The sequence below is a fragment of the Homo sapiens genome, chromosome 7 (genome assembly GCF_000001405.40).
Source record: "Homo sapiens chromosome 7, GRCh38.p14 Primary Assembly".
Classification (NCBI taxonomy): domain Eukaryota; kingdom Metazoa; phylum Chordata; class Mammalia; order Primates; family Hominidae; genus Homo; species Homo sapiens.
In genome coordinates, this window is record NC_000007.14 from 99,265,738 (window position 1) to 99,278,133 (window position 12,396).

A 12,396-nucleotide genomic window follows, 5' to 3' on the forward strand; every position below is an offset into this window, starting at 1 on the left:
GCTGATAAGTCACATCCCACTGCAGCAGATATTATGGTGCTCTGCCAATACCACCTCACCATCAGTCACTACCTTAGTACACACTGGCCCAAATTTCAGAAGAGATTGGGCATGTTCAGGGTGGTATGGCCATAGACACTTGCCCAAATTTCAACTGCCAGCCCCTGCATTTCTCAGCTGCTGGATGCTGCTTTGCCCTTTCTTGGCAAGCTGAAAGTCCTGGGAATTAATGCCTCCCTGGAAGGAGCCCTCAATCAGTGACTGAGGAGAGCTGGTGTATAAATACCTCAGCTCCCTCACCCTTCTGGTGGCTAAATCTGAGACATTTTCCAGACATGCGCTCAGACAGCAGTGTGTTGGTAAATGTTAAACAAGAGCTCTTCTGGTCCAAAAAAAACCCCGATTGCTAGTGTCTGCCCATTTCCATGATGTAAATACTCCCACTGTGGCTCCCAGTGATCCCAGCAGCATTAAGCTCCAGTTGCCTGTTGCACTAACTGCCCCCATAACGTGCCTTTTATTGGCTTTCTTCCCATTCCCCACTCTGCCACCTCCCAGATAAACTACTTGCACTTGAATTCTTATCTCAGGGTCTGCTTCTGGACGAACACTGGGGTAACTAATACCCCCACCTTAGAGATGATCTTCTACCTCCTCCAACTTCCTAGAACATAGGGCCACAGATTGATGGATCAGGAAAGGTCACTAGAGGTCACCTTATCCAAGCCCCTCTGAAGTCCCCAGTTGGGGACTTGTGTGTCCAAGATCACAAAGGGGGCTGCTCCCAGGTCATGATAAAAAACCTGTTTGCTGATGTCTGGATCAATGCCCTTTTCTCAACTCCAAGCTCTATCAGGAAGGGATTTTGGTGTCTTCATTTCTAGAAACAGCTCCTCCCTGTACCCCCAACCCACACCAATGTCCACTCCCAAGCTGTAGCCCTTATTCCAAAGCCTCCTATTGATCTCATCTCTCTGCCTCCCAGGGGCATCTGTCAAACAAGTCTAATCTCTGTCCAAAGTCCATCTCAAAGACCAGCGGATAACCGCATGAACATGTTTTATGTGCTGTCAGCTTGGGCACAGTGATGACTGTCAATCATCTCTCTCCTGCCAGGTACCAAGTGCTGAACCCCAACGTGATTCCCCAGGGGTTCGTGGACAACAAAAAGGCCTCAGAGCTGCTGCTTGCAGCCATTGACCTAGATGTGAATGAATACAAAATTGGACACACCAAGGTAGGGTATGGTGGGCGGTCTCCCCCTACACACCCCCTCAGCCTTTTTCCAAGAAGGTGGGCTTTGGGGTGTGGATTCCACCTGACCACTGACCAATGGCCTACTTCGGGCAAGTCTGCCAGCTGCTGAGAGCCTCAGTTTCCTGAAAAATCAAGATTGGTCATGCCAGTCTCATAGAATTTGGGGAGATTAGAGGCAACACGCATAGAACTCAGCTCAGCTCAGAGGGGAACTCAATCAATGGTAGAATATTTCTTAGAACCCTACGTTTTGTTTTGTTTTGTTTGAGACAGGGTCTTCCTGGAGTGCAGTGGTGCAATCACAGCTCACTACAACCTGGAACTCCCAGGCTCAAGTGATCCTCCTGCCTCAGCCTCCCAAGTAGCTGGGACTTAAGGCATACACCATCACACCCAGCTAATTTTTTAAATTATTTGTAGAGATGGGGTCTCACTCTGTTGCCCAGGCTAGTCTCAAACTCCTGGGCTCAAGCAATCCACCTGCCTCGGCCTCCCAAAGTGCTGGGATTACAGGCATAAGCCACCACACCTGGCCTGAGCCCTGAGTGTCCAAGAATAAAAAGGGCCAATGAGAATCAAGGTCATGGATCTGGCCCGTGGGGAAGTTTGCTTGGGCAGAGCCTGGACAATGAAGCACTGTAAGCCCAGCTCTGAGCCAGCGGCTGAGATGGGACTGACTCAGACAGAGCAACCTCCTGCTCCTGACTCATGGGGCCCGAGTTGCCCTGGGTCTATCCCATTTCCTGGCCCTGCAGCATCCTGGTGGGGTTGTAAAGGCTAGCCAGGCCAGTGGTGCCAGGTGTCCTTCTATAGCCGCCCTGCCCCCCACAACAAACTGCACCCCAACATGATCGCCCCGTGACACAGGAGGTTCACAGGCTTTGCAGTCAGGAGAGTCAGCTCAAAGCCTGCCTCTGTGCCGCCTGGAGCAGATCATTTCTCTCTCCAAGTTCTCACGCATGACGCAGGCTTGGCATGGAAGCTTCCAGCATGCCTGTGCCTCTAATGCATCTGGTCACTCAGCAAACACTTATGGTGCGCCTACTGTGTGCCAGGCATGGTTCCAGGCTCTAGGGACACACAGTGAAGAGAACAGAATGAGTCCCTCACTCCCTGGAGCTTGCTTTATAATACTCTGTGTGTGTGGAATTGTAACACTGCCCTAGAACCTGCTGGAACTGTTTGTTTTGGCATCCTTCACAATTAAGATGTGCTGTAAATAGCTAGATTGACTTGCGGGGGACACTTGAGGTTTGGAGACAGGATCATGGAATAATTGAGCTGGAAAGAATCTTAGAAACCAACGGGCCCCTCCTTTCCCTACCCACCCTTGACAGATGGGAAACTTAAGAAAGCCTGGAGAGGGGGTGGAGGTGGCATGCCCAACTTCACAGAACGAAGCGGGACAGAGCTAGTCGGCATAAGGCCCACCAGTGGCGGTCGTGTGGCCGGGAAAGCCGGAGCTGGTATCTCAGAATCTGGCACAGCTCAGAATCTTGTCCGTTTACCACCTGGCCAAACAGACTGCATCTTGCTGTTGTACAAGGGTTGCATTAGGCACGTCAGTTCCAGGGGAAGGCCCAGGGCTGCTGGGGACAGTTTTGCTCCCTGAGGACTAGGCAGACTGGCAGCAGGAGGAGAACAAAGAACAGGATGGTTCTGACTGCAAATGGTGTTCCTATGTTTGGAGTTGGCTCAGGTGGGCCCCACCCCCAGCCACATGCTTGTTTCAAAGACTAAACCTCAACGCCAATTAATTTTGAAATATCAGGAAATGTTTTATGACATCAAGCCTGATTTCTCTACCTTGCGATGTCTAGCTCCTCGGGGGTCCTTTTGAGGGGCAGGGAGCATTCTTCCTCATCTTTTGCCCACAGTGGCTCAGTTAGGTGCTGTACTCCCTGGCCCCGTGTGGCATTTTGGGTTCCCGCAGCTCAGAGGTCCCAGGGGCCCTGCAGGCAGCATTCTGTCCGGACAGGAGGGGAAGCCTAGGTCCCCCAAAGGGACAGTGACTTAACCACAGTCAGACACACAGCACATCCAAGGAAGGCTGAGGCCAGAATGCAGGTCTCCTGGCACCTTCTATCCTTCTAAAAGTTTCTATTATGTCCTATTTGAAGCCTGTAAAAAGGTGTTACATTATGAAACATAATAATAAAGCCAGCACCCTGTGAACCCACTGAAAAGCCCAGAATGTCAACCTTTCATGTCTTTCCTCTCCCATCCCCTCCCTACCCCCAGGAGTAACCCTGTCTTGAATTTTGACATGAACCATTCTCTTTTTTTTTTTTTTTCTTAAGAGACATGGTCTTGCTCTGTCGCCCAGGCTGGAGTGCAGTGACACGATCACAGCTCACTGTGGCTTCAAACTGTTGGGCTCAAGCGGTTCTCCCACCTCAGCCTCTCGAGTAGCTGGGACTACAGGTGCACACCTCCACATCTGGCTAATTTTTGTATTTTTTATAGAGATGGGGTCTCAATATGTTGCCAAGGCTGTTCTCCAACTCCTGGGCTCAAGTGATCCTCCCACCTCGGCCTCCCAAAGTGTTGGGATTACAGGCATAAGCCACACCACCTGGCTTATTTCCTTACCTTTCAAAAATAGCTTTAGCACATATGCCTGCAGGTCGTGCTTGGTTTTGAGCTTCATGGAAGTATCATACTTGACACACCCTTCCGTGACATTCCTCCATGACGTGCTTTTATCGCTTTGCCATGTTTCTAAGCTTCATCCTCATTGGTACGTGACATTGTCACTGCCACACTGTACTGCAGTGCTGCTGTGAACATCCTTGCTCATGGTCCTGTGCAGGAATTTCTCTAGAACAAAGTTCTCAACCTTGGCTATACATTAGACTCATCTGGGGACACTTTTTTTTTTTTTTTTTTTTTTTTTTGAGACGGAGTCTCACTCTGTTACCCAGGCTGGAGTGCAGTGGCACTGTCTTGGCTCACTGCAACCTCCGCCTCCCGGGTTTAAGCGATTCTCCTGCCTCAGCCTCCCGAGTAACTGGGATTACAGGCACCTGCCAGCATGCCTGGCTAATTTTTTGTATTTTTAATAAAGACGGGGTTTCACCACGTTGGCCAGGCTGGTCTTGAACTCCTGATCTGCCCGTCTCAGCCTCCCAAGGCACTGGGATTACAGGTGTGAGCCATCGTGCCTGGCCTGGGGGGATTTTTAAAACATCAACAGGCAGGGCATGGTGGCTCATGCCTATAATTCCTGCATTTTGGGAGGCTGAGATAGGAAGATCACTTGAGTCCAGTAGTTCAAGGCCAGCCTTGGTTATGGGCAACATAACCAGACCTCATCTCAGAAAAAAAAATTTTTTTTTTTTTTTTTTGAGACTGTCTTGCTCTGTTGCCCAGGCTGGAGTGCAGTGGCGTGATCTCGGCTCACTACAAGCTCCGCCTCCCGGGTTCACGCCATTCTCCTGCCTCAGCCTCCTGAGTAGCTAGGACTACAGGCGCCCGCCACCACGCCCGGCTTTTTGTATTTTTAGTAGATATGGGGTTTCACCATGTTAGCCAGGATGGTCTCGATCTCCTGACCTCATGATCCACCCACCTCGGCCTCCCAAAGTGCTGGGATTACAGGCATGAGCCACTGCGCCCAGCCGAAAAAAATTTTTTTAATTAGCTGGACATGGTGGCACATGCCTGTAATCCCAAGCACTTTGGGAGGCTCAGCCTGGATAACATAGTGAGACCCTATCTCTACAATAATAATAATAAATTTAGCCAGGCATGGTGGCATGTGCCTGTAGTCTCAGCTACTTGGGAGACTGAGATGGGAGGATTGCTTAAGCTCGGGAGGTTGAGGCTGCAGTGATCCGTAATCGCGCCACTGCACTCCAGCAAAACAAACAAACAAAAACCCTTCTTTGATTTAAAACTCCCCCAAGTGGCTGCCATCGGTGACAGCCGGGCTTTTTCAAAGGCGTGCGGTCTTTCCCCAGGTGTTCTTCCGTGCGGGCATCCTGGCCAGGCTTGAGGACATGAGGGACGAGCGTCTGGCCAAGATCATGACGATGCTGCAGTGTCGGCTTCGGGGCTTCCTCATGAGGGTGGAGTTCAAGAAGATGCTGGAACGAAGGTAGCACTCACAAACACCGACAGGAAGGCCCAGAGGAGCCACACGCACTCAGGGCCAGCTCCACTGGCCATGCTGCGTGGTGGGCCAGGGGTGGATGCCAATGTCTTGCTGGCACAAAGAACCCTGTGTGGCTGGCCAGGTGCGGTGGCTCATGCCTGTAATCCCAGCACTTTGGGAGGCTGAGGCGGGCGGATTGCCTGAGGTCGGGAGTTCAAGACCAGCCTGGCCAACATGGTGAAACCCCATCTCTACAAAAAATACAAAAATTAGCTGGGCGTGGTGGTGGGCACCTATAATCCCAGCTACTGGGGAGGTTGAGGCAGGAGAATCGCTTGAATCCGGGAGGCGGAGGTTGCAGTGAGCTGAGATCGTGCCATTGCACTCCAGCCTGGGCGACAGAAGCAAAACTCCGTCTCAAAAAAATAAAAAGAACCCTGTCTCTCAGAGCTGCCGCAACCAAGTTCACACACTGGGTGGCTTCAAACAACAGGAATTTTTAAAAATTTTTTTACTGATACCTAATAGCTATGCATATTTTAGGTTTTATGTGATAACTTGATACATTCATATAATAAAATCAGGATAACTGGGATATCCATCGCCTTAAATTTTATTTTTGAGTGGGGGATGGGGTCTTGCTCTGTAGCCCAGGCTGGAGTACAGTGGTGCGATCATAGCTCACTGCAGCCTCAACCTCTTGGGCTTGAGTGATACTCCCACCTCAGCCTCCTGAGTAGCTAGGACTACAGGTGCACTGTACCACACCTGGCTAATTTTTTTTTTGGTAGAGACAAGGTCTCCCTATGTTGCCTAGGCTCATTTCAAACTCCTGGGCTCAAGCAATCCACCTGCCTCAACTTCTCAAAGTGTTAGGATTACAGGCGTGAGCCACTGCGCCCAGCCCATCTTCCCTCTTTTTATATGGACACCAGTCATTGAATTAGGGTCCACCTTACTCCAGTATGACCACCTCATCTTAACTAGTTACATTTGCTGAGACCCTATTCCCAAACAAGGTTCCCTTCCTAGGTATTGGGTGTTAGGACTTCAACGTATCCTTTCGGAGGACACAGCTTAACCCCTAACAGGAAACAACTAATATAAACCCTCTCTTTATAGTTTCAAGTCATGTCACAGCCTTCCTCTTACTTGATTCACATAATGATGCTATGAGAGGGGCATGGTAGGGCCAGCACCCCCACTTTACAGATGTGGAAACTGAGGTCTGAGAGGTTAAGGAACTGGGGCAGGTTCATGCAGAGCCAGGATTAGAACTCAGCAATTCTCACTCCACATCCCTGCCCTTGGAACCATGTTTTTCAGCCATCTCCCTAACCTGGTAATTTTTAAAGGGCTGGGTCTGGCCAGGTGTGGTAGCCCATACCTGTAATCCCAGCACTTTGAGAAGCCAAGGTGGGAGATCACTTGAGCTCAGGAGTTTGAGACCAGCCTGGGCAACAGGAGATAGGGAGACCCCATCTCTACAAAAAAAAACAGAAACAAAAAATTCGCAGGTGGTGGTGCATGCCTGTAGTCCCAGCTACTTTGGAGGCTGAGGCAGGAGGATTGCTTGAGCCAGGGAGTACAAAGTTCCAGTGAGCCATAATTGCACCATTGCACTCTAGCCTGGGCAACAGAGTGAGACCCTGTCTCAAAAAAAAAAAAGGTAGGTCCATCCCAGATGACCTGTGATTCACTCTATTTCTTTGTGGTCATAGAATTAGTAATGAATTCCTGTTCCCATCAGCAGGCCACCTGCAGCCCTGGACTGAAGGCAGGGATACCAGTTAGGGGCTGATGTGAGGGATCTTGGCCTGATTCAGCCCAGGGCCTTGGTGCACAGGAGGTCCTCAATAAATGGCAGTTGAGTGAAGCTGCAGGGAACAAGAAACGGGCAGATTCCAGCAACTTTGCAGATCCATGGGATTTGGAGACTAATGGGTGATTTCTGGTGGAGGAGGGAAAATGCAGGAGTCAATGACTGGTATGTCTCAGCCTTGTGCCATCTGGGAGGGACCTGGTTCCATCAGGTTTCACCTCAGCTCCCTTATCGTGCTGCTAAGCTCTGACCCCAACGTGAGTCTCCCTGCCGCAGACCACATGGGCAATGCTGGGTCTCGAGAAGGCACTTTGGTGTCTGAACAAGGTAGATCTGCTGGCTTCTATTCCCAGGCCCCACCCCTTCCCCAGGGAAGCCAGGTCCTAACACCTTCATTGTAACCCACTCAACCCTGGATTCTTTTCGCAGAATGGGCCTGAAAGTCATTCAGCAGAACGTGCACAAGTTCCTGCAGCTCCGTTTCTGGGGCTGGTGGAAGCTGTACAACAAGGTGAGGGCCGAGGGGCCAGGCCAGGGGGGACTGCTGCTGCCTATGGGCTGGGGGAGGGCTTGATCCTGGACAGAGATGCCCCTCGGGAGTGAGAGGCTGCAAGAACAGTTTGAAAATGAGGGCACCTTAGAGACAAAAATCTAGCCTCTGTCCAGACAGGGACTAATTCCTCCCTAAGAAAAATCATGGGGCGGGCACAGTGGCTCACACCTGTAATCCCAGCCCTTTGGGAGGCTGAGGCAGGAGGATTGCTTGAGGCCAGGAGTTTGAGACCAGCCTGGGCAACACAGTGAGACCCCATTTCAAAAGAAAAGAAAGGAAGAGAGAGAGGAAAGTAAGAAAGAGAGGAAAGGAAGGGAGAGAGGAAAGGAAGGGAGAGAGGAAAGGAAGACAGAGAGGAAAGGAAGGGAGAGAGGAAAGGAAGACAGAGAGGAAAGGAAGGGAGAGAGGAAAGGAAGGGAGAGATGAAAGGGAGAGAGGAAAGGAAGGGAGAGAGGAAAGGAAAGGAGAGCAAGTGTCTTTCTGCCTTCCATCTCATCCCTCAAAATAAAATCCACTTAAGATGGAGAGCGCCATACCACCCCCACCAAAAAAAGTGAGCTTGATTATTGACTCCTTGCCCCTGGGCATGTTGAGGCATCTTCAACTCCAGTGAGTTCTTGGCTTAGAGCTGGGGGAACCTCAGGAAATGATAAGGTCCGACCTCTCATTTCCTGTTCTTCCGAAACAGCAATGAGTATGGTATGTGAGTCAGCCAGGTGGTGGGACCCACAGAGGTCCCAAGCAGCCAGGCCACCCTCAACCAAGGCAGGAGGCCACCAGCCATGGCACTGCACATGGGTCCAATCATGCCTGTGCTGGGGCCACCATTAAGAGGGACATGTCTCTGGGCACCAGAAGAGGGAGTCAGGCACCAGGCAGCTATGTTCAGGAGAAAGGAGGACCCGCAGAGGGTGGGGACAGGCTCTGAGTCATCTCGGGTGGCCCTGAGTCCTCCATAGCTCACAAGGAAGTTTCTTTACACTCCCCCATGGGAAAGAACTAGCTAACAATCAGCACCCACCACAGATGGAAAGGGAGGAATAGTAAGTTCTGCTTCCCCAAATGTATCCACACACAGGCCGGCCCTGGAGGACCTGGGATTGGAGAGGAATCTAGGTGAGCATGTCTCAAAGGCCAGGCGTTGCCGGTGCCGCCTGGCTTTCCCCGCCTGTTCCATGACTCACCTTTCTTTACATTAATTCACTTTTTTTTTTTTTTTTTTTTTTGAGACGGAGTCTCACTCTGTCACCCAGGCTGGAGTGCAGGGGCACAATCTCAGCTCACTGCAACCTCCGCCTCCCGGGTTCAAGTTATTCTCCTGCCTCAGCCTCCTGAGTATCTGGGATTACATGCATCTGCCACCCTACCTGGCTAATTTTTGTATTTTTAGTAGAGACAGGGTTTTACCATGCTGGCCAGGCTGGTCTCAAACTCCTGACCTCAGGTGATCCACCCGCCTTGGCCTCCCAAAGTGCTGCTGGGATTATAGATGTGAGTCATTGCACCTGGCCTCGCTTTTTTATTTTGGAAAAAAAAAATTTTTTTTTGACACAGGGTCTCACTCTGTTGCCCAGGCTAGAGTGCAGTGATGCAATCATAGCTCACTGCAGCCTCTAACTCCGGGCTCAAGCGATCCTTCCACCTCAGCCTCCCGAATAGCTCAGACTATAGGTGTGTGCCACCATGCCCAGCTAATTTTTAATTTTTGTTTTTGAAGAGACAGGGTCTTGCTATGTTGCCCAGGCTGGTCTCAAACTCCTGGCCTCAAGCAATCCTCCCACCTCAGCCTCCCAAATGGCTGAGATTACAGGTACACAGCGCCCGCCCAGCTCATTTTTAAATTTTTTGTAGAGACAGCGTCTTGCTACATTACCCCAGCCAGTCTCAAACTCCTGATCTCAAGTGATCCTCCCCAGCCTCCAGGAATTACAGGCGTGAGCCACTGTGCCCAGCCACAACTTTTACTTTAAAAGGAAACTTTGTAGTCTTACCTGCTTTAATCTCATCCTAAGCAAATGTTACCCACAAAATTGTGGATTTGAGTTTTCATTTTTTAAATTGCCTATTAAAGTAACTATGTCACAACTCTAATCAAAGGGTGTCTATGCTTGAATGCATCTCACCAGATCCCTTGGTATACAATTAGACTCTGGGAAGACCCAGGCCAATGGCCTTTAAGGTTCCTTCTGAGCAAGACATGGTAGCAACAGCTGTAAACTCCCCTGCTTGTTACTAATTAGACCTGACAGAACAAGGTCCTGTTCTAATTAGTTTTTCTTGTTGTTGAGACAAAATCTTGCTCTGTTGCTCAGGCTGGAGCGCAGGGGCATGATCTGGCTCACTGCAACCTCCGCCTCCCGGATTCAAGCGATTCTCCTGCCTCAACCTCCCGAGTAGCTGGGATTAAGGCGCCTGCCACCACGCCTAATTTTTTGTATTTTTAGTAGAGACGGGATTTCACCATGTTGGCCAGGCTGGTCTTGAACTCCTGACCTCAGGTGATCTGCCCGCCTTGGCCTCCCAAAGTGCTGGGATTACAGGCGTGAGCCACTGCGCCCGGCCTTTTTAGTTTTTGTTGTTGTTGTTCTAAATCCTCTCCTCTTAGTATTCTAACTAAGCTCTAATATTATTTAACAAAGCCAGATAGGCTGGGTCAATGAAAAAACACTTGTAGTAGGTTTCCATTGAATAAAAAGTGCTACACAGCGGCAAAGTATGGTGGTTACTGCAACCTTTTCATGCCAGCTTTGCCACTGTGACATCTCAGATTCTCAACAGCCAGGCTGGCAATGAACGAGGTTTATCTGTTATCTTTCAAAAGAGGCGCAGGCTGTCCCTCCTCCCAAATCCATGTCTAGGGCATTTTCCCTCCTGGGAAATGTATCTATTGACTATGTATCTATTGTATCTATGGTATAATGTTTCTGTGGTTCCCAGGGGACCTGCCCCACCAGCTCTGCTAGGTGCTTTAGGAACCCCAAAGGGATGGGAGGGAGGTCTTTGAGGGGCTTGCAGATGCAGGGCAGAATACAGGTGGTAGGACCGGACGGAGCCTGGCGCTCCAGTGCAGGTGAGAAGGGCCAAGTGCACAGAGAGGTCCCGATGGGTGCTGCGGGTGCAGAGCACGAGCAAATGCTCCCGGCTGAATGGCAAAGAAGGCCCAGCCCTATAGACACAGGTGCAGGGGCACTGGCCATGGTGGGAAGTATCAGCTGACACAGTGCAGGAGGAGGGCAGGGGCTACATTGTGGAAGGCCTGCAAGGCCAAGTCGAGAGGTGTGACTTCATGTTAGACAGAAGATGAAAGGAGTGAGAGAGAGAGAGGGAGAGTAAGAGATGGAGAGAGACACACACACATAGAGAAAAACAAAGAGAAAGACACAGAAAATGAGAGAGAGAGAGACAGCACAACAGAGAGACAGGCAGAGAGAGAGACAGAGATAAGAGAGACAGAGATGAGACAGAGAAAGAGACAGAGAGAAAGACAGAAACAGAAACACGGAGAGAGAAAAAGAGAGAGCAGAGCAACAGAGACTGAGAAGAGAGGCAGAGATAGGAATGGCATGAGAGAGACACAGAGAGAGAGAGAGACACAGAGAGAGAGAGAGAAACAGTGGGCGAGTGAGAGAGACAGCAAAATGAGGCAGACAGAGACAGAAACAGAGAGCCAGAGGTGGGAGGACTCAGTAGGGAAGGAAGGAGGGAGGGGACCCCAAGGCTGTGCATTTCACTGGGGCTCCTGGTGTCTACACAACATGCAGAACAGATGTAAGCCTTGGGTCACCCAGATGCCGAGGACACCTAACTCCATGTCCCTCAGGATTAAAGAGCATCCTAAGAATTGTCCTAGGGGAGGATGGGCCTTCTCTGTTGAGGCCAGGGATGCTTTACACAAGGAGCTCAGCCTGGTGGCATCTGTGGAGAGGGACCCCACCCGCAGAGCTACAGCAAGAGCTGCTTCCCACCACAGTGGTGCTGTGAGGTCACGCCTGAGGCAGAGACTCCACAGCCCTCCGTCTACCCCCCAGCAAACCCCATTCTCCTAACACTCTTTGGTGTTGCTCATTGCCCAGGTCAAGCCACTCCTGAATGTGGCTCGGCAAGAAGAGGAGATGAAGGCCAAGGAGGAGGAGCTCAGGAAAGCCATGGCCCAAACCCAGGAGTTGGTAAACAAGGTCAAGGAACTGGAGGAGAAGACAGCCACGCTCAGCCAGGAGAAGAATGACCTCACCATCCAGCTGCAGGCTGTACGTGGGGTCCCCAGGGAGAAGGGTGGGAAACCCATACAGCCTGGACCCTGGGAGGGAGGAAGGGCGAGCTCTTCCAAAAACCCATGTCCCTCCAGACCACGGGAAATTCTCCAGCATACAAAGTCACCCTCGACCCAACTTCCAAAAAGTCTCCATCCAATTCGTGTGTGTGTGTGTGTGTGTGTGTGTGTGTGTGTGTGTGAGAGAGAGAGAGAGAGAGAGACAGACAGACAGACAGACAGACAGACAGACAGACAGACAGCGACATGGTCTTGCTGTGTTGCCCAGGCTGGAGTGAAGTGGCTCGATCACAGCTCACAGCAGCCTCCATCTCCTGGACACAGGTGATCCTCCCACCTCAGCCTCCCGAGTAGCTGGGACTACACCACCATGCCTGGCTAATTTTTTGTAGAGACAG

At 50.8% G+C, this 12,396-nt stretch overlaps 1 protein-coding gene across 2 annotated transcripts in view; it reads left to right on the plus strand.

Annotated features, from left to right (window-relative positions):
- MYH16 (myosin heavy chain 16) overlaps positions 1–12,396 on the plus strand; it is a 72,300-nt gene that overhangs the window by 26,909 nt on the left and 32,995 nt on the right. The window contains exons 17-20 of one of the 2 annotated variants that reach the window (NR_002147.3): positions 1,117–1,237; positions 5,220–5,356; positions 7,605–7,686; positions 11,802–11,975. Coding sequence is in view for 1 of the 2 variants with exons in the window: in NM_001431356.1 (NP_001418285.1) it covers positions 7,606–7,686; positions 11,802–11,975 (255 nt within the window). In the remaining variant the exon portion in view is untranslated. Of the gene's footprint in view, positions 1–1,116; positions 1,238–5,219; positions 5,357–7,101; positions 7,341–7,604; positions 7,687–11,801; positions 11,976–12,396 lie in introns of those variants that run through there. The other variant, NM_001431356.1, reaches the window with a different exon arrangement.